Consider the following 22,149-nt stretch of genomic DNA (forward strand, 5'->3'; position numbering starts at 1 on the left):
ATGAATACTATTGTTATTCTGCCTTTGTTTAGATGTGGGAACCGAGCTCAGAGTAGCTAGGTAATTTGTTCAGGGATGTGGCACTCCTGGGTGGCGCAGAAGGATTTGAACATGGGCCTATCTGATGCTTTAGTGGTTGGCACACCTGGTTAGCCCTGTTGTATGTTTCATAGAGCAGTATTTTCTAACCCAGCCTTCTAACAATTGTGTATCTTAGCTGTTTTATTAAATACTTAATTCATACAAAGAGTACAGCATGTAAGGACAAAGACAAGTAAACACCATGTATGCACTGCGCAACCTGAAACGTGAAATGCTACCATTTTCCTTGAATGTCCCACCTCGTTCTCAGCCCCAAGTCTCCCACCCAAGAGGTGACATCATTCTGACTTCGGGGATTATCACCACTTAACTCTTCTTTATTGGTTTTCAACACATAAAATATTCCTAAACAATATTTTTCTTTATGTAGCTGTTTAGTAGAATAGCATAACATACGAGATGTGAATATAAAGCAACTTTATGTTTTTTGCTCTCGGTGGTCCCCTTAAATTACACGTGTGATTAGTTTCTCTTGTGCCCGAGATGAAAAATCAAGCAGCCTCATGACTGTTGGTCACCTCCGGGTCATAAAAATCTCACAATCACATCAAGTTTAAAACAAATAAAACAAACCAAAAAACCCCACTCACTCCCACAATGAAAATACACAGTTTCACGTAATAGTCAAAATAATCTTGCTTTAAAATTGAGGCTCTTGATATTGACAGAATGTGTCTGATTACGTCCTTGTTCTTTTTTTTCCCCCTCACAGGAATGTTGCAGCTATTCTAAGGGCTTTGCACGCTCATGTGAATTTTAAATTCAGCTAGTCAGTCACACACACACACACACACACACACACACACACACAGAGTTTGGATTTTGATTGGAGGTATTTTTGAATCTGGACATTGTAATGGTGTTATTTGTTCCCTTGCCTTAGTGAGGTTATCATGCTTATTAGCACAAGGGGCGGGTTTCCAAGCATTTACCTAGACAAGCTGTGACCCCCTGTCATGTGTACAAAGCTCTTGTTGGCCTGACTGTGCCACTCATCATCAGCTGTTTGTTTTTTTAAGATAATAGTCTATTTTTTAGAGCACTTTTAGGTTTATAGAAAAACTACCCCCTCTCCCCTGTTCACTGTTTCTTTTATTATTATCATTTTGCATTAGTGAGATATATTTCTTACAATTGATGGGTCAATATTGATTTACTATTAACTAAAGTCCATGGTTGACATTAGAGTTCACTCTTTTTTTTGAGACAGAGGCTTGCTCTGTCACCAGGCTGGAGTGCAGTGGTGCAATCTTGACTCACTGCAACCTCCGCCTCCCAGGTTCAAGCGATTCTCCTGCCTCAGCCTCCTGAGTAACTGGGATTACAGGTGCGTGCCACCACACTCAGCTAATTTTTGTGTTTTTAGTAGAGACAGGGTTTCACCATGTTGGCCAAAATGGTCTTGATCTCTTGAGCTCATGGTTCGCCCACCTTGGCCTCCCAAAATGCTGAGATGACAGGTGTGAGCCACCATGCCTGGCCTAGAGTTCACTCTTGATGTACATTCTATGGTTTGTACAAATACATAATGCAATGTATTTACCATTATGATGTTGTACAAATAGTACATATGTTAAAATCCCCTGTGCTTCACCTGTTCACTTCTCTTTCCCCACCCAGCCTTTGGCAACCACTGATCTTTTTAGTCTCCATAGTTTTGCCTTTTCCAGAATGTCATGTAGTTGGAATCATGTAGTATGCAGCCTCCTCAGCTTGGCTTCTTACATTCACAGTATGCATTTAAGTTTCCTCTGTGTCTTTTTCTGGCTTAGTAGCTCATTTCTCCAGCCTGGGGGACAGAGCAAGACTCTGTCTAAATAAATAAATAAATAAATAAATAAATAAATAAATAAATAAAAAGTGACTCTGACATATTTGACTCCTATATTCGTTGATACATCTAAGTTTATCCTTGCCTTTTAAAAGATAATAGGTAAGGATATATTACCTTGTTGTGTGTTGTGAGTTTACTTTTTATCCTAGGATTTAAGTGCAAAAGGACGTTAAGAATCCTGGGCTATGGAAGAGCTTGATCTTCCTGCCTCTGAGCCCCAGAACCCTCTTTTGTTTGCAGAGCTAAACAGCCACACCGAGTAGATGGCCCAGCAGCAGTAAATGTGGTGCCCACAGTCGTAAAGGACAGTTGATTCTGCAGGGAACGGCCCGTTCCTGAGCCTCTCCTGGAACGAGTGTGTGCTTGGGCGCTTTCTCCAGGTTGGATGCCAGTGTTGGCCTCAGAGACCTGTTTGCTTTCTTTCTTTCCCTTTTTTTTTTTTTTTTTTTTTTTAGCTTCACTTGTACTTTAAGGTACAATATTAGAATGTTCCTGTGACTTTTTTTTTTTTTGTATTTGTAGATTTGGGATAAAAATGGAATTAAAAAGCCTGAAGGGAGCGGGAGGAGGGAATCTTGCAAAATACAGACGGAAGAGAGTGAGAACTGTCTTATTAGATAGTTTTTTTCTTTTGTTCTTCATCTGTTTTTGCATTTATTATTTGAGATAAGAAATTTTCATTAAGCAAAGGTAGTGAAACACTCCCAGGAGCCTGGAATTACGTTATGAACACGGCTTAGTTTGGGAAATAAAAATGGCATCATACGGAAGCATTCCACTTACTTGCCCAATTTAGGAGTGGAGAAGTCGACAAGCAAACAGGAAAACCCTAACTTAGGAAACAGTATGTAATTCCTGGAATTATGGTGAGATTTTTTTTTTCCCTCAAGTTTTATTTTAAGTTCCTGGGTACGTGTGTAGGATGTGCAGGTTTGTTACATAGGTAAACGTGTGCCATGGTGGTTGGCTGCAGATCATCCCATCCCTAGGTATTAAGCCCAGCATCCATTAGCTATTCTTCCTGATGCTCTCCTTCCCCCATCCCCTCCCTCCCCACAGGCCCCAGTGTGTGTTGTTCCCCTCCATGTGAAATGATGGGATTTTTACTGTCAAGCTTTCTGAAGTTGAAGTTGTCTCTTCCCCAGTGCCCTCTTTGTAAAAGTATAAAGAACCATTCTGTAGAGGATGTAAATTAGTGTCAGGGTAATCACCAATTACCCTGACGGTAATTTAGGGGAAGGGGAAGAAGGGGAAGAAATACTGATAATATAGCACTCAACTTTTTAAGTAGCTTTTTCCTAAACTTGATCTTCCTGTGTCTGAGCCCCTAAGAAAGCCTCAAAAGCGCTAGCTACATTTTGTAAAGTCTGTTTTTGTGACTGAAAGGGGACAGCACTTCTGTGGCTGTTTGCATTGTTTCCTTAAACTTTGCTGTTGAGGATTGGATGTGACATGTAAGGCTCTCTCTGTTATGTCTAGGTGGACACAGCAATGCAGTGCCTTGCAGTCATTTAATGGTGGATTCCTGCAGGCAAGAATCAGGATAGGGTAATTTCTGGGGCTTAAATTTCACGGGTTCTTCAATTCTCAAACTCGTTTCTCTTTTTTGTTGGTAGGTATTTGGGAGAAAGAGCTGGAAAGACACTTTTTTATATTATTAAATACAGACAATTGATGAGAAGAATTTTTGTAGTCTCTCCCACAGAAGGATAAATTTACTTTGCAGACATCCAAACCTAATGTTTACAAAGAAGCTCTGAATGTTTCAACAAATATTTAATGAGCTGCCATTAGGTGCCAGACACTGTACTGTGTGTATATGCTGTGGCTCTGGATGATTAAGGTCATGTCTTTAAGGAGTTTATGGTCTAGTGAGGGTGCCTCAGTCATGCAAAAATGTAACTTAATGTAATGTGGTGTGTGTTAGATGAATTTCTGCACAGCTGCTTGGTTTAATATAGTAATTGTAAGTGTCAGGAAGCCACAGGGGGAGTGTGGCTTCCTGAGAGAGACAGTTCCTGCACTGAAGCTCATAGGCAGGTTCTTATTGCATGTACTCACAGCCAGAGGCTAACCCGAATGCCTGTTATGTGTTAGATACAGTTACAGGAATAATACCATTTAATTCTCACTGCCGTCCTCCAGAGTCTCTGTTACTGTTATCCACATTTTTCATTTTGCAGATGAAAAATCTGAAGAAACACTGTGTTCAGAAAACGATAGGAAAATTGTGAATCTTCCTGAATCAAATATATTTTGGAAATGCTTAATTTAACTGGTAAATTGTTTTAAAAGCATTGTTTTTGTTGGCAGACAGAGCTTTTTTTTTAAATTTTAGTAAAATAGGTATAACGTAACATTGATGACGACTTTAACCATTTTTAGGCATAAAATTCAGTTGTGTTAAGTTCATGATATTAATATGGTTGTGCAACTATTACTACCATTCATCTCGAGAACTGTTCCATCTCCCAAACTGAATGTCCATACTCATTAAGCAACAGCTCCCATTTCTCCTCCTCCTCCCAGACCCCAGAAATTACTGTTCTACTTTCTTTCTCTACAAATTTGACTTCTCTAGGTACTTCAAATAATTGGAATCATATGCTATTTGCTCTTTTGTGACTGTCATATTTCAGTTAGCATAATGTCCTCCAGGTTCATCCCTGCTGTAGCATGAGTCAGAATTTCTTTTCTTTTTAAGGCTAAATAATATTCTATTATATGTATATACCACATTTTCCTTATCCATTTATCAATCAGTGAACATTTGGGTTGTTTCTGCCTGTTGGCTGTTGTGAGTAATGCTGCTGTGAACATCAGTGTATAAATATCTGTTCTGCATACATCAAAATAATAAGAGCCATGTATGACAAACCCACAGCCAATATCATACCTAATGGGTAAAAGCCGGAAGGATTCCCCTTGAAAACCGACACAAGACAAGAATGGCCTCTCTCTCACCATTCCTATTCAACATAGTTTTAGAAGTTCTGGCCAAAGCAGTCAGGCAAGAGAAAGAAATAAATGACATCCAAATAGGAAGAGAGGAAGTCAAACTATCCCTGTTTGCAGATGACATGATTCTGTATCCTGAAAACCCCAAAGTCTCGCCCCCAAAGCTCCTTCAGCTGATAAACAACTTCAGCAAATTCTCAGAATACAAAACCAATGTGCAAAATTGCTAGCATTCCTGTATACCAACAGTGGGCAAGCAGAAAGCCAAGCCATGAAAGAATTTCCATTTACAATTGCCACCAAAACAATAAAATACCTAGGAATACAGCTAACAAGAGAAGTGAAGGACCTCTTCAAGGAGAATTACAAACCACTGCTCAAAGAAATCAGAGATGCAAATGGAAAAACACTCCATGCTATGGATAGGAGGAATCAATATCATAAAAATGGCCATACTGCTCAAAGCAATTTATCAATTCAATGCTATTCTGATTAAATTACCATTAACATTCTTCACAGAATTAGAAAAAAACTATTTTAAAATTCATGTGGACCAAAAAAGAGCCTGAATAGTGAAGACAATTCTAAGCAAAAAGAAGAAAGCTGGAGGCATCACTTTACCCAACTTCAAACTATACTACAGGGTGACAGTAACCAAAATCACATGGTACTGGTACAAGAACAGACAAATAGACAAATGGAACAGAATAGAGAACCCAGAAATAAGATCACACACCTACAACTATCTGACCTTTGACAAACCTGACCAAAAACAAGCAATGGAGAAAGGATACCCTATTTAATAAATGGTGCTCGGAGAACAAGCTAGCAGAAAATTGAAACTGGAAACCTTCCTTACACCATATACAAAAATCAACTCAAGATAAATTAAAGGCTTAAATGTAAAACCCCAAACCTTAAAAACCCTAGAAGAAAATCTAGGCAATACCATTCAGGGCATAGGAATGAGCAAAGATTTCATGGTGAAGATGCCAAAAGCAATCACAACAAAAGCAAAAATTGACAAATGGGATCTAATTACACTAAAGAGCTCTGCACAGCAAAAGAAACCAACAGTGTGAAGAGACAATCTACAGAGTGAGAGAAAATTTTTCCAATCTATCCATCTGACAAAGGTCTAACATCCAACATCTACAAGGAACTTAAACAAATTTACAAGAAAAAAACAACACCATTAAAAAGTGGGAAAAGGATATGAACAGACACTAAAGAAGACACATGTGGCCACAAAACATGAAAAAAAGCTCAATATCACTGATCATTAGAGAAATGCAAATCAAAACCAGAATGAGATACCATCTCACACCAGTCAGAATGACTGTTATCAAAAAGTCAAAAAACAACAGATGCTGGCCAGGTTGTAAAGGAAAAGGAATGCTTTTACACTGTTGGTGGGAGTATAAATTAGTTCAGCCCTTGTGGAAAACAGTGTGGTGATTCCTCAGTGATCTAGAACCAGAAATATCACTTGACCCAACAATCCCATTACTGGGTATATACCCAAAGGAATATAAATCATTCTATTATAAAGATACATGCGGGCCAGGCACGGTGGCTCATGCCTGTAATCCTAGCACTTTGGGAGGCCGAGGTGGGTGGATCACCTGAGGTCAGGAGTTCAAGACCAGCCTGGCTAACGTGGTAAAACCCTGTCTCTACTAAAAATACAAAAATTAGCCAGACGTGTTGGGATGTGCCTGTAATCCCAGCTACTCAGGAGGCTGAGGCAGGAGAATCACTTGAACCCAGGGGGCAAAGGTTGCAGTAAGCTGAGATTGTGCTATTGCACTCCAGCCTGGGCAACGAGTGAAACTCTGTCTCAAAAAAAAAAAAAAAAGATACATGCATGCATATGTTCTTTGCAGCACTATTCACAATAGCAAAGATATGGAACCAACCTAAATGCTCATCAGTAATAGACTGGATAAAGAAAAGTGGTATGTATACACCATGGAATACTATGCAGCCATAAAAGGAACAAGATCATGTCCTTTGCAGTTATATGGATGGAGTTGGAAGCCATTATCCTCAGCAAACTAAAGCAGGAATAGAAAACCAAATACAGCATGTTCTCACTTGTAAGTGGGAGCTGAATGATGAGAACACATGGACACATGGTGGGGAACAACACACGGTGGGGTCTGTCTGAGGGTTGGGGATGCAAGGAGGGACAGCATTAGAAAGAATATCTAATGGATGCTGGGCTTAATACCGAGGTGATAGGATGATACGTGCAGCAAACCACCATGGCATACGTTTACCTAGGTAACAAATCTGCACATCCCGCACATGTACCCCTGAACTTAAAATAAAAATCGGAAAGAAAATAAAATCTGTTCCAGTCCCCAGTTTCAGTTCTTTTGGGTATATCTCCAGAAGTGGAATTGCTAGAGCATGTAATAGTTCTGTGTTTGAGTTTTTGGGGAACCACCATAATGTTTTCCACAGTGGCTGCACTATTTCACATTTCCACCAACAGTACACCCGGGTTCGTTTCTCCACATCCCTACCAGCACTTGTTATTTTCTGTTTTTTTAAGGTAACAGGCTTCTAAATAGATGTGAAGTGGCTAGTGTTGTTTTTTATCAAGACAAATCTTAGGAAAAGAATGCAGTATTTGTGTGACTTGTAAAGATAAACTATGCAACTGTAAAGAAATGTTCAGCGTTCAGTAACCTGCTACCTCTGCGCATCACCCAAGATGCAGACTGGCTATCCTGAGCCATCAGGGAGGCAGTCGCAGTGGATTAGGAACACAGATGCTGTGGCCAGACTACCTGGTGTAGGTGGTGGCCCTGTCACTTTCTATGGTGTGATCTTAGGACCTAACCTCAGATTCTTGCATCTGTGAAATGGATGTGATAATAGAGGGTAGTTGTGTTGAGAATATCTGGCGTATAGACATTCTCTCTCCTCCTCCACCTCATGTGTAATTAGGAGTAATTTAGGGAAGTTGGAGCCGCACTGCCTGATGGGAGCCGCTGAAAGAGCTTTCGGCAGGGAAGGGACGAGCCTTGTTCTTGTCAAAATGGGCTCAACAAATCTGAGGCTGAAATTCTTTTGTCAGCAGGCTGGAGGAAGGTAATTAGTGTCAGGTGAGGCTCAGAGTTATTGAATGTGTTCAGAATCAAGGACCTGGTGGCCTCCCAGAATAGTGACGGAACTGGGGAGTGATCAGCTTTCTTCCAGAAATTCCCTGTAATTGAGGGCTTTGTTGCCAAAAAGGCTGATAATAACCTGTGTTCCATATTCCTGTTAATTAGATGCAAAGTGGTTCCAATTCCAAGTTGCACCACTGTGGAATAAAATACAGAATATAGATTGTGCCTGAGGAATATTGAAGTGAAACAGTGTAATTCATAATCCCCAGTGCTCCTAGCACTCCAGTGAGTGAATATAGGTGGAGTCTGAGTTCTCCAAGAGTGATTTTCCCTTCCCATGTGGATGACAGCTCACATTGGCTTTTCTCCAGTGGATCGGTTAGTCATGCAGATCAAGAAGACTGGTGGGGACTTTCCAGACTGATCTTTAGTTGCAGATAGGTGTCACCTTCTTGTCCAGAGGGTTCCCAGACATTCTCAGTTCATGCACCCTGGTTTCTCATTAAGACTTTTAGGGAGCCCATAGGCCAAAAGAAATCCCTGACAGTTCCATTTATTAAGTAGTTTTAATCAGCTGGCTGGAAAGGGATATTGCTAAGTGTGGAGAGAAACAAGGAGAAAGTTCAGAAAAGTTTCAGCTTCTTCAGAAATTACCGCACTTGGTTTAATTTGAAGTCAAGTGAGAGTCTCAAGAGGTGAATACTGTATTCACTCTTATACTGAAGATCGGATATTGGTGTTTTCCTTTATAATCTGAATTTTACCAAAACTGGGTGGAAAACACAAAGTTCCTAGAAAATAGAGATTGCTATGTTTTTGTTGTCTTCTGGACAAGAGTCTAATCTCCAGGGGAGCATGTCAGGGTCAGCTGTGGCTTCCTGGTTCCTGCCACTGTTGATGAGCTCTCAGCACTGATGCAGGGGTCATTCTAACGGAGGTGCAGAGATAGACATCATGAGCCTCTGGCTTAGGTGCCCAAGAACTGTACTCAGGACAAGCCGATTTCAGGAATTCGACTTGAACACAGATGTGATCACAGTGGTATCAAGAGTAGATATTTTAAAGGTGCTATCCCCGTTTCTCTATTAAACCTCAGTTAGGCTTTTAGTTGTCTCAGATAGAGGTGTAAGACTTTAATTTCATTTCATTTTTAATTTTAAAAGGTCAGCGTTTTTGTTGAAACTAGATTGCTGCACTTAAAAGTATGGGGTAAGGGAATTAAGAGATGAAAAGACAGCTCTTGCCAAGGTTATTTGATGAAATAAAAGGAGGCCACCAGAGGAGGTGAGAGGACAGCACTGTTCTGGTCTCTGCTTTCAGTTCTGCGTGTTAAGTGAGATCATGTGGTATTTGTCTCTCTGTGCCTGGCTCATTTCACTCAGCATAATATCCTCCAGCTTTATCAGTGTTGCTGCAAATGACAGGACATCCTTTTCATGACTGAATAGTACTCCGTTGTGTGTGTATACACCACATTTTCTTTATCCATTCATCCATTCAGGGACACTTAGGTCAATTGCGTATCTTGGCTACTGTGAATAGTGCTGCCATGAACAAGGGGGTGTAGACGTCTTTTTGAGGTGTTGATTTCGTTTTTTTGGATATATACCCAGTATTGGGATTGCTGTATCATATGGTAGTTCTATATTTAGTTTTCTGAGGCGCCTCCATGCTGTTTTCCACAGGGGCTGTACTAATTCACAATCCTGCCAGTAGTGTGTGAGGGTCTCCTTTCTTGCACATCCTTACCACCGCTTGTAACCTCTGGTCTTTTTGATAATAACCATCCTAACAGGTGTGAGGTGGTATCTCACTGTGAGTTTGATTTGCATTTCCCTGAGAATTTTGATGTTGAGCACCTTTTTCATATATCTCTTGGCCATTTGTGTGTCTTCTTTGAAAAAATGTTCAGTTCCTTTGTACATTTTGTGATTGAGTTATTTGTTTATTGAGGGCTTTGTTTGTTTTTGCTAATGAGTTGTTTGAGATCCTCATCTATTATGGGTATTAGTCCTTTACTTGTTATATGACTTGCACATGTTTTCTCCTATTCCATGGGTTACCTTATTTTGTTGTTTCTTTTGCTATGAAAAGCCTTTTAGCTTGATACAGTCTCGTGTCTATTTTTGCTTTTGTTGCCTACGCTTTTAGTGTTATATCCAAGAACTTATTGCCAAGACCAGTGTCAAGGAGCTTTTCTCATATGTTTTGTTCTACGGTTTTTATGGTTCCAGGTCTTAAGTTTAAGTCTTTAATTCATTCTGAGTTGATTTTTGGAGTAGGAGGCCAATTTTATTATTTTGCATGTGGATATTCAGTTTTCCCAGTACCATTTATTAAGAGACTATCCTTTCCCCATTCTTGGTGCCTTTGTTGAAGTTAAGTTGACCGTGTATGCATGGGTTTATTTCTGGGCTTCATATTCTATTCTGTTGGTCTATGTGTCTGTTTTTATACCAGTAATATGTGGTTTTGATTACCATAAGTTTGTAATATAGTTTGAAATCAGGTAGTGTGATGTCTCCAGCTTTATTCTTTTTTTTCAAGATTGCTTTGTCCGTCTGGAATCTTTTATGGTTCTATATGAATTTTAGGGTTTTTTTTTTTTTTGTATTTCATTGGAATTTCAATAGCCATGGCATTGAATCTGTAGATGACTTTCAGTAGTATGGACATTTTAATGATATTCTCCTAATTCATGTTTATAGGATATCTTTCCATTTATTTGTGTCTTCTTCAGTTTCTTTCATCAATGTTTTATAGGTTTCAGTGTACAGATCTTTCACCTCCTTGATTAAAGTTATTCCTAAGTATTTTATTCTTTTCGATGCTTTTGCAAATTTGATTGTTTTCTTGATTTCTTTTCAGATAGTACATTGTTAGTGTCTAGAAATGCAACTGAAGAAAATAAATTCAACTGATTTTTCCATGTTGATATTTATCCTGCAATTTTACTGAATTTGTTTATTAGTTCTAACAGTTTTATGGTAGTCTTTAGGGTTTTCTGTATATTAGATAACATCATTTTCAAACAGACTATTTAACTTCTTCCTTTCTGATTCGGTTGCCTTTCTTTCTTTCTCTTGCCCATTTGCTCTTTCTAGGACTTCCAGGATTATGTTGAATGGAAGTGGTGAGAGTGGACATCCTTATCTTATTTCTGATGCTAGAGGAAAAGCTTTCAGGTTTGCACTATTGGGTATGATATTAGCTGTGGACTTGTCATATATGGTCTTACTATGTTGAAGAACATTCCTGTATGCCATATTTGTTGAGAGTTTTTATCATGAAAGACTGTTGAATTTTGTCAAAGGCTTTTTCTGTATCTGTTGAGATAGTCCTATGATTTTTAGCCTTGATTTTGTTGAGGATTTTTATTTATTTAGTAAATATTGTGTATTTATTTAGTAAGGTGCATCTCCGTTGGACCCAGCCTGATGGTGGGAATCACCTGTCTCTCCCCTCTCTCCATGTTGTCCAGCTGGTCAGCAGGCCATGTTGACTCTCTCCCCATCACCTCTCCCCAGCCCACGGCCAGGATTATCTCATCCGGTGGCACTGACGATGATGGCCTCTGCTGCCAGAACTTCTGCTGCCGGCTCCCATGACCTTTAGAGTAAACCCCAATCAAAGGCCTAGGCTCCCCCACCCTGTCCCTGCCTGTCGTCCTCCAGCTGGGGTCTCTGTCTTAAGCTCCCTGCACCCCAACATCCGTCCTTTCTCTGGCATTAGAGCATCCGTGTGTCGGCTGAAGGAGGCCACTTCAGGCTTCATAACAACACCAGTGCTCCCCACGTGGCTGGAGCTCTCTGATGGCTGAACCTCATCAGCTGTTCGCCATTCCCCTACTAGTGTGTCTACCCCAGTTCCACTCAGACACGAGGGACCAAGGAAATATTTACTGAATGAATGAATGAATCAAGTCTCATAGGAAGTTCTTTCTTGTTCAGAGATGAAGGAGGCCAGGTGCGGTGGCTCTTGCCTGTAGTCCCAGTACTTTGGGAGGCCAAGGAGGGAGGATTGCTTGAGGCCAGGAGTTCAGGGCTGTGGGGAGCTGTGATTGGGCCACTCCAGCCCGCACCAGGCTGCACTCCAACCTGGGTGACAGAGTGAGACCCTGTTTAAGAAAAAAAAAAAAAAAAAGGTCGAGGGAAACAAACCACAGGTACCTCATTTAAATGGAGGACATCAGTGTTCCTTTCTAAGCTATGTTCACTCAGATGATGACAGTCGTAGGTAGCTTTGCCTGCGTTCCTTGCTTCATGTGGTCCTGAAGTGCTTATGTAACCACCCCAGGGGCAACTGAGGCATTGGTTATTGCCAAACCACCTGACTCTGTTGCATCAGGATACTTGGCCTAAGAAGAACTATTGGGACTTAGAGAGTTGATTCCATATCGTTAAAGTTCTGACATTCTAATCGGAAAAGAAATGAACCAGCAGACTTTGACAGGTTTTGTGGGGAGGAGAGGAGAGGGAAAGGGTGAAGCCAGCATTGATTTTTAAATTAAGTTTAAACACAGTTAAGTGGGTCACACTGAAACACATGCCTGCGCAGTCACTTTGCCAGATATTGAAAAAAAGAAAGGCTGGCTTTGTTTGGTGGATAGGCAGGCTCAGCCTCCTGAATCTTGCTTACTTCATAGGTAAGGGCTCTTGCTGAGCCACTTGTGTTATTGACCCCTGAAGTTGCTGCCGTTGGGAGAAACCACAGTAAACAACAGTCAAACAAAACCAGCTCACCATGTGGTAGATGTACCATGAGGATAGGCATGTGGCCGGTGGTTTAGAGGAGCTGACCTTGGAGCGGGTCTGACCTTAGGTGCAATAGCACATCGCAGCAGAGGAAGTTACAGTGATGACACCTGTGTGCTGCCCTGCTTGGGTCGGCCCGTCTCCACAGCACCAAGGACAGACTCCTGCACGGAGAAGTTGGAGGAGGAAGATGGTCAGGAGGCTGAAGTGACTGCTTGTATTAAGGAACATTGTGGGGGTGAGAGGGTGATGAGAGCAGCTCAGAGATGATGATCATAGGGAGGAGAGTCACAGGATGCCAGAGACACAGTACCCACTTCGGAACACTGCAAAGGGTCTTTTTTTGTTTGTTTTTGTTTTGAGATGGAGTCTGGCTCTGAAACCCAGGCTGGAGTGCAGTGGCATAATCTTGGCTCACTGTAACCTCCACCTCCTGGGTTCAAGCAATTCTTTTGCCTCAGCCTCACGAGTAGCTGGGACTACAGGTGTGGGCCACCATGCCCGGCTAATTTTTATATTTTTAGTAGAGACAGGGTTTCGCCATATTGGCCAGGCTGCTCTCAAACTCCCGACCTCATGATCCATCTGCCTCGGCCTCCCAAAGTGCTGGGATTAGAGATGTGAGCCACCATGCCCGGCCAGGGTCTTTCTTATCCTAGAAAGAGGACAACACCCTTCTCCCTGTCCTTTTTCTCATTCTGCTACCATTCAAGCTTCTAAGTCAAAGATCCAGTTCATCTTTTCATAGAAGTATGACTTCATTTATTTTAGTATATTACTAATGAACAACTTTAATATAGCGATCCTATTAATATTTTTAACATAATTTGTTTACATTATAAATTAAGTGGGAAGGGGAAGATGATACGAGAATCTTATAGGAAAAAATGTGTCTTCAAGTCTGAACAAGTGACTTAAAAATTGATATTTAGAATACTACTTGTTCAACAGTTTACAGAACATTTTACCTTCTGGTATTTATTATCTGAGTCAGGGTTGAAGGAATCTGAAGGCATGTATGATCCATACTCATGGAGAAAAGATACAGCTAATTTTGAAATGAAATAATGGCATTTTATATATGTTTGGTTTCAGAGGCATCCTTTGGGAAAAGCGATCACCTTCTCCAGATCCGCATTCAGGTGATCTTTGCCAATCTCTGACTGAGCCTGGTGGCACATCACTTCTATCTGGCCTTGACCTTTGAGGCAGCAGGATGACTGCAGGGAGTAGGCAGTGCTTCCATCTGTGAATCACAAAGCAGATCAACCCCAAAGCAGCCACCTGCACATGTGGTACATCTTCTGCACCTCCATAGACACTTTTACCTAAGGCCAGATGCATGTACAATAAACTTAAATCCATTGACTTTTCAACAGATTGCTTCACGTCTTTGGATCTGGAAATTTTGACCCAGAATACCATTCCCTATTAGCAATGACCTATAACTATCAACTTTACATGTTACCAAGAAAGGTGTCACGCCATGAGAATAATTAATATTTTGATGAGAATTTTCTCTTTACAATGCATGTGCTTCTCTAAAAGTAAAAGAAACTGCTCTAAAAGAAATTTTAGGATCCCATGGAGAAAGCTGGGTTCAGGGATGTTGTGTGACTAGCACAGGTCACATAACAAAGCAATTCAAAGCAAAGAACCCTGACCCCAAATTCTTAGCCTCAGCTGCTGCCCTTCCTCCCCTTCACCTGTCCCTCAGTCTTGCTGAGAGGGATGCTCCCTGGTGTTGTCCAGTCATCACTGGGTTCCCTGCATCTGTGTTGTCAGCAGCACATCTGTTTCCCTCCTTAGTTGCATGGGGACTCTCACTTCCCATTTGCTTCTGCCTTGTAAAGGGTAACATAACCTTGTCTCATCTTGCATCTCCGCTTTCCTTTTTGAGATTCAACATATTTAAGTATTAGTGATTCTTTAGTTTTCCTAGCAACTAAACTCAGCTGGTTTTGAACTTCTCGCAAAAGTCAGAATATAGTACTTGCTTTCATTTCAGTCCCCACTGAGCATCTGACATATTTAAAACATTATTAAGCTGTGTCAAAGGAGCCATGTCCCTGGGATATTATACCAGAGTATTCCTGAATTCTGTGTGTTGGTTATGTTCGAGCACAGCGTCTCCCTGAGGACGCGCTGGCAATGAGAACCTCCACCTCTAACAAAGTCTCACAGATCGCCTCTGAGAGATGGGGTGTGTGCTCCAGGGACCCCTGTTCAGGAGGAGTAGCTGGTCACCTCTGGCTTGGTTCATTGGTGGCATCATGTCACATGACTGTCGTGCATGTCCTAAATGAGGAGATGTGTGCCAAGAGGCAGGGAGGGCTTGCAAGAAAACAATATGCAAATCTCAGTTCAATTAGAAGACAGTTTAAATTAGAAGCAGAAGGCATTTCAGCAACTGCTTTAATGTGTAAAACTAATTTGAGAGGATGAGACACTTGATTGCACAGCACAGGGAAAGGGCCTCTTCTGGGCCTCTGTCCTCAACAGTGGCAAAATGGTCTGTGGGGACATCCCCTACCTTAAGACCTGATAGGCTGCTGGGTGGAAGCTGAGTTGAAAATTAATCTCATTTCCTCAGAATGCAAAGCTATAAATTGGGGCTCTGCCTGGAAACACATTTTATGCAAAGACAAAAAAATTGAACACTAAAATAAATGCAGCAAAAATAAAATGCAACACACATATATGCTCTTACACACAGTTATTAAGTATGTCTAATTAAGCTGTGGATGTAAAAGCTACATCATTCCCTTTAGGGGTATTCTGTGCTGACTGCACTGTTGGGTGACTTAGCCTGTGAACTCAGTGAACACAGCTCCAGATTTGGGCCAGTCTGCCTCTGCCAAGCAGAGACATTGTTTTTGCTCCAGTGACCATCACAGTGCCTTCAGGATTAGGGCCATCCATCTGGAAAATTTTCATTGCCCTGAATGGTAAATGTGGGGGAGGTGCAGTCTTGTGGTGACATCAGTTTTGGCATGGGTTGCAGGCATGAGGTAGTCCTAACCGGGAACTTCATTGTTACTGCTGCAATCTTGTTTACCACCAGAAAGGTGGTGGACAGGCCATGGCTGTAGGAAGTCAAGACGCAGGGCAGTCTTCAGGGCTGAGGGCTGTGACTGGCAACAGCTCCCCTGGAGCCTTCCAAGGTTGCTGTGAGATTGGAGGAAGAGGAGCTCAGAGGCTGTCACTGTGCAGAGGTTGGGGACGCAGGCAGGGAGGGGCATTATGGAGGATGCCAGCATCTTTCGCACAAGCTCAGACCTACCTGCCCTTTCATCTCTCACTACACCAGCCTGACCTGCAACTTTAGACACAGAAGGAAGATTTTCCTTTGTGGTCTAAGACCTGCCTTTGCAAATCCTTGTTTTCTGCACCCCATCACCCCAGAGGATTGACAAAGCAAATATGAATCCCTATTGGGGAAACACCATTCTCACCCACAGGAATGTGTTTTAGCCCAGTAACCCCCATAAGGCAAGCCAAGACAATCACACGCTTGTATGAAATTGACACCTTTCCAAAAGATACGCTTATTCTAGTTGCATTTGTCCATATACTTTCAATTCACAAACATTGAACTTCAGTGATTGAATACTTAAGTGACGCCAGAGCTACAGATGCTCTTTTGAAGCATCTTACCTACTCCTTACACAGAGAGACCCTGAAGGTACCAGATCAAAGGGTAAGGGGGCTTCTTTCTTTTACTAAGGTATGTATATTGGGGCTAGGAAGAGGAAGGACGGTGTCTGGCATTAGGCCTGGGGAATAACTTCATCTCTGAAATTAGGACCTTGGATGCTTTCTCTTTATGAATGTTGTAAATTATGGCTGGGCATGGTGGCTCATGCCTGTAATCCCAATACTTTGGGAGGCCAAGGTGGGAGGACGATTTGAGGTCAGGAGTTTGAGACCAACCTGGCCAACATAGTGAAACCCTGTCTCTACTAAAAATACAAAAATTAGTGGGGCATAGTGGCATGTGCCTGCAATCTCAGATACTTGGGAGGCTGAGGTGGGAGGATCACTTGAGTGTGGGAGGCGAGGTTGCAGTGTGCTGAAATTGTGCCACTGTGTACTCCAGCCTGGATGACAGAGCAAGACTCTGTCTCAAAACAAAACAAACAAACAAAAACAAAAACAAAAAAAAGGAAATGATAAATTTCAGTGGTTTTAACTGGCCATGGTATGTACCTGTTATCCCAGCTACTTGGAGGATGAGGTGAGAGGATCACTTGAGTCTAAGAATTTGAGGCCACCCCGGGCAACATAGCAAGATTGAGTCTCTTAAAACTTTTTTCCAGTAATTTCAGAAAAACTATTCTGAAACTAATTGGTAGCACATTCATGGTTTTCAGCACTCTCTCTCTTTTTATTACAATTCTTCTTCCTAATAGCATCAGTGGCCACAGTTGCTGCTAGACATCCTACAAAGCACAGGTCTGCTCCCACAACAAAGAACCATCTGGCCCAGATGTTGGGGTATCAGACCTGAGATGTGCAAAGCCAGCAGCCCCTTCAGCCAGTCATTCAACAGACACATGCTGAGAACACAGTGAAATAAGACAAGGCTTCTGCCTATAGAGAACTTTCCATGCTCCTCAGAGAGGTTAGTGGAGAAGGCAGACAAGGAAAGCAGAATGACCGGGCAGTGTGGGAAACATTAGAGAACTGTTTCTAGGTATTTCAAACAGAGAATCTAATACAGGGGTTATTTTTATACAGCTGAGAAACAGAAGACAGTGCAATAGCAGGAAGTTGCTACCAGCCCCTGGGCTGGAGTGGTAAACAAGAGGGCGTGTTGCTTGAGCTGGGAGTTGGTGCTGCCCACAGGACCTCGGACCTGGGAGGGAGGAGCTTCCCAGCAGGGCTGGAGCCACAGAGACACCACAGCTGCTGCACGTGCCCACAAAATACTGTGGCAACTCCCTTCCCCCAACCCTCAAGTCACCTCCCACCACCACTGCCCACTGCCAAACCTGGACAGAAGCCATTTGTCAGGAATCTGGGAATTGTGGTTCCCAAAACAGAGAGATAACAATGGCTGGAGAAAGAGCCTGAGAGCAGACAAAACTCGCAAAGGCATGGTGGTGTGAGGATCATGACAAATAGCTCAGCCCTGCTGGAGGGAAAGGCGTCCTGTATTAGGCACAGGACATTCAACATCTCCTCAAAGTCCACAGGCAGCCAGTGACCCTGGTTCAGTGACACACCCATCTGCAGTGTGGAATGGACTCTGGCAGCAGAGTGAAGGATGGGTGGGCAGTGAGCCAGACCATGGTCATCCAGGTGGAAGGTAATGCAGGCTGGGAATGAGGCACCAGCCACCATGCCGACAAAGGGCTGGTGGGCATGCAGTAGAGTCGCTTAGACCTGGTGTAATCTGTAGGGAAGGAAGAGGGTCTAGCATGACCCCCAGGTTCTGGCCAGGAGGTAGCAGTGCTGGGGTGGACCCTCTGATTTCCACCCTGCTGGGCTGTCACTACAGCAATGGTAGTAAGCTACTCAGCCTCACTGGGCCCTAGCATCCTCACTGGCATGAATAGGGGTCACATGTTCCCTAGGGCAACATTCTGTGCAGCTGTGATTTAAGGGTCTGCACTCACTCCTTCAGCATTTTGGATTTCAATATGTTTTCTTTCAGTGTCACTTTGTTATCATGTAAATCAAGCTTCTCTAACCAGTGGGCCGCAGGCTGCATGTGGCCCAGGGAAGCTTTGAATGTGGCCCAACACAAATTCGTAAACTTTGGTAAAACATTATGAGGGGTTTTTTTTTTTGCGATTTTTTTTTTAATCTCATCAGCAGTTGTGTTAGTGTGTTTTATGTGTGGCCCAAGACAATTCTTTCAATGTGACCCAGGAAAGCCAGAAGGTTAGACACTCCTGATGTACATGATGAGTATATTACAAAAACCTTCCTGCTTTTTTGTACATTTAATCTGTTCTATATTCCTGAATTTCAAATTTAAGTTTTTATTTAAAAATTACTGGTCAGAAGCTTTTTTGTTTGTTTGTTTCATTTTTTTGTTTGTTTGTTTTTGGTGCAAATTCTCATTATCACCAAAAAAAAAAAAAAAAAAGTTTCATTCTAAAGTTCATACACCCTAGAATCCAGCTTGTAGACAGTGGATTTCACAATATTCCTATCTGAAATTCTTTCTTAGTTCTGTTCTCTTCCTATCTCTGGCAGAGTTCCCACAATTTATAAGACTTGCTACAAAACCACTAATTGAATTGCAACCCTTGGTTAGTTAATTGAGGTCAAATTATTAGTTCTAAATAATGCAACTTGGTATGTTACTCAGAAATTCCAGGAAAAGGCTTTTTTTCCATAATTTTCAGTTTCATTCTTAGCAGCACACAACAATCACGTTGTTCAGCTCAGGAACAAAATACTAAGTCACTGGTCGTTTAAAAAGCATATTGTCCCAATTAGAAACCCCAATTTTTTGCATGTGTTTTATGAAATCTGAATCCTAGAAATTAAGTTCTGAGTGTTAGAAAATTTCAACTTCTTCACTCTATAAAAACATAGTGGGTTGTAACAACTTCTTACCTTGGTACGGATTAGACAAGGCAGGATAACTGATACGACTTCACATCGAAGTTAAATCTAAGTGTGCAAAGCACAGCATTCTTACCCTCAGAGAGTGCACAGTCTTGTTTGAAGGCAGCCATATAAAGCTATCATTATAATCCATTTTGGTAAAAACAATTTGATGAGATGCCTGAAGGCCTGTGGAAGCACAGAGTAAGGGATTTCATTCATTGCAGGGGGCTCAGGAAGGAATTCCTGGGGAAGGAGACACCTGCAGTTCGTCTCAAAGAATGATGAGGTATTAGATTAAGGATGTGTAGGCTTTTCTAAACCCACTTTCACCTTAATTTTACTAATTTATCGCACTGAGCTTTCCTTCCAATGATACTGTTCTACTTACTGTAGAGTGATCAGTTACCCCATTTGCAAGGAACTTTGCTGGTTTCAACCCTGAAAGTCCCATATCCTGAGATACCCTTCATTCCTGGGTCAGTCAGACACCTGGTCCCCCAAATGTACTGCCTCCCAGTTGTACTGTGTGTCGTTGACTGTTGCTTTGCTCTTGCCAGTTTCTTATCTAGAATGAGCGATTACCTTATCATTGCCTTGAATTCCTCATGGGACCCGCACAGACGCTTGTACCCAGTAGATGCTCATGAAGTGGGTATATGCATAAATGTTGGTACCTCTTCCTCTGTAGACAGCACTGAAATACAGATCACTGAAATGACTGACTCAAGAGCCATATGACAGCACCAAGGTTAGGCCGATTCCCATGTCTTGGGCCCTTGTTTCCTTCTTGGTTATAAAAGGTCTTATAGTGCCCTCTGGTGGTGTCAGGAAGCTGTCTAATCCCCTGAATTACAAGGCAGAAATCATGCCTTCTCTTCTGTATTCAGTGCGAGTCATAAGAAGACCATTACTACTAATGTCAGTGCCTGTGAACTGGACTTGACCTTTTGATTAAACAATCTCATTCATTTCATGATTCTGAGATGCTGAAACAATGAAATTCCCTATCCCTTCTAGAGCACATGAGGTTGGATAGGTGATATCAAATGTTGAACTTACTTTGCAACTGGTTACAGGCTTCATATCCAGTCTCATCGCAGAGATGATTCAAGCCTCTGCTTATGTGGCTCATCCAAATGTAACCCCCAGCTCCTCTGGCCCCCTAATTCCTCCATTAGAACATTAAACTGCAGAGGGCGTGTGGTAGCCCATCAGTCTTCTGATGAATGGAATTGGCTGATGGTCTAAGTCATCGTAGCCTCCCTTGTCCCGGGTGGAATCAACTCTTTGACCCTTTACCTATGGCTGTCTGTGGGAATCCCTTCTCACTGGAAATGATGTAGGGGCAAATAAAAATAGAACCCATCAAGAACATGGGGCGTAGGAGCAGAAGAGAGATGTTTCTGTTTGCATGGGGTCAGATTCTGCACTTGATAGGGATACGCTAAATTGGGATCTGATCTCAAGATCTTTAAAAAATGTCCTCCTCTTGTTCCTCTCTTGCCTTTGGCCTCTGTGGCCTTGGAGGTAATGGCATTGACTGATGTCTAAAGATTTTTGGGATTTATTTACAGTCAGGGTCGTGAGGCCCAGGAATTGGAGTCAGATGCCTGGGGTACAGATGCCCATTGTGCTTCTCTGTTCATTAGTTTACTGCAGTGGAGAAGAGTGTGGGCTTTGTGGGGACAGCTGCAGGACTCCCAGGCAAATGACCTAACCTGCCTGAGTATCCATCTGGTTGTCTGAAAAATGCAAGTCATTCTGTGACCTCTTAGGTTTCTGTGTGTACTCAGTGACGTTATGTTTTCCAAGACCTTAGGGCAGAGGCCTGACATATAGTAAGTACTTAAAAGTTGGTAGTCTTTTATGGTTATTATCATAATCTATCATTCATTCATCCAGTAACTATTTATTGAGAACGGGGGGCTGAGACATGTAGGCTATCACTTGAAGGCTAAGCAGGTCTTGGCCTGATGGGAAAGGTTAAGGGGGAGCAGGATTTTCATTTTTCAGGGGAGGGCCATGGACCCAGGTGTGGGGTTGAAGGGTTTGGACACAGATGTGCATGATGGGGAAAGCATGGACAAGATCTGAGGGGAAGGGATGGACACAGGTGTGTGGGGAAGGCATGGACACAGGTGTGTGGGAAAGTATGTATACAGGTGTGTGCAGTAAAGATATGGATACAGGTATTGGGGGAAGGTGTGGAAGTGGATGTGTGGGATGGGCATGGGTGCAGTAGTGTGTGGTTGTCAGGGCACGTGGGAAGAGGAAAAAGATGCCGAATTTGTTTAATTTGAATTCTTACCTCTGAATTTTTTTTTTTTTTTTTTTTGAGACGGAGTCTCACTCACTCTGTCGCCCAGTTTGGAGTGCAGTGGCGCAATCTTGGCTCACTGCAACTTCTGTCTCCCAGGTTCAAGCGATTCTCCTGCTTCAGCCTCCCGAGTAGCTAGGATTATAGGTGCACATCACCACGCCTGGCTAATTTTTGAATTTTTAGTAGAGATGAGGTTTCATGATATTGGCCAGGCTGGTCTCGAACGTCTGACCTCAGGTGATCCACGTGCCTCGGACTCCCAAAGTGTTAGGATTACAGGCGTGAGCCACTGCACCCAACCCTGAATTTCTAATATACTTCAGCAGCATCCTCACTTCTCTCTGCTGTATGGCCAGTTGGAAAAAGACCCCCACCAATGTGTTTCCTTCTCAGAGGCTGCCCTGGCATGTCCTTGCTGAGTCCTTCCCGCCTGTGTCTAGGTGGCCCTGTGAGGCTCTCAGTTAGTGTTTGGGCGTCTCAGCCCTCCTGGAC

General features: G+C 42.3%; 1 protein-coding gene across 3 annotated transcripts in view, besides 2 other annotated features; it reads left to right on the forward strand.

Annotated features, from left to right (window-relative positions):
- Positions 1–22,149, forward strand: part of SPATA13 (spermatogenesis associated 13) — a 327,268-nt gene that overhangs the window by 220,353 nt on the left and 84,766 nt on the right. The gene's annotated exons all lie outside the window — the stretch shown is intronic.
- Positions 17,392–17,671: an enhancer, noted in NCBI's record as "active region_7470". NCBI's record gives its function as "activates an Ori minimal core promoter by ATAC-STARR-seq in GM12878 lymphoblastoid cells {active_cell/tissue: GM12878}" and the evidence as "EXISTENCE:reporter gene assay evidence [ECO:0000049][PMID:35858748]".
- Positions 20,937–21,231: an enhancer, noted in NCBI's record as "tiled region #6807; HepG2 Activating non-DNase unmatched - State 6:EnhF, and K562 Activating non-DNase unmatched - State 24:Quies". NCBI's record gives its function as "activates a minimal TATA promoter and a strong SV40 promoter by Sharpr-MPRA in HepG2 cells, with weak activation in K562 cells {active_cell/tissue: HepG2 | K562}" and the evidence as "EXISTENCE:reporter gene assay evidence [ECO:0000049][PMID:27701403]".

The sequence above is a fragment of the Homo sapiens genome, chromosome 13, assembly GCF_000001405.40.
Source record: "Homo sapiens chromosome 13, GRCh38.p14 Primary Assembly".
Taxonomy (NCBI): Eukaryota; Metazoa; Chordata; class Mammalia; order Primates; family Hominidae; genus Homo; species Homo sapiens.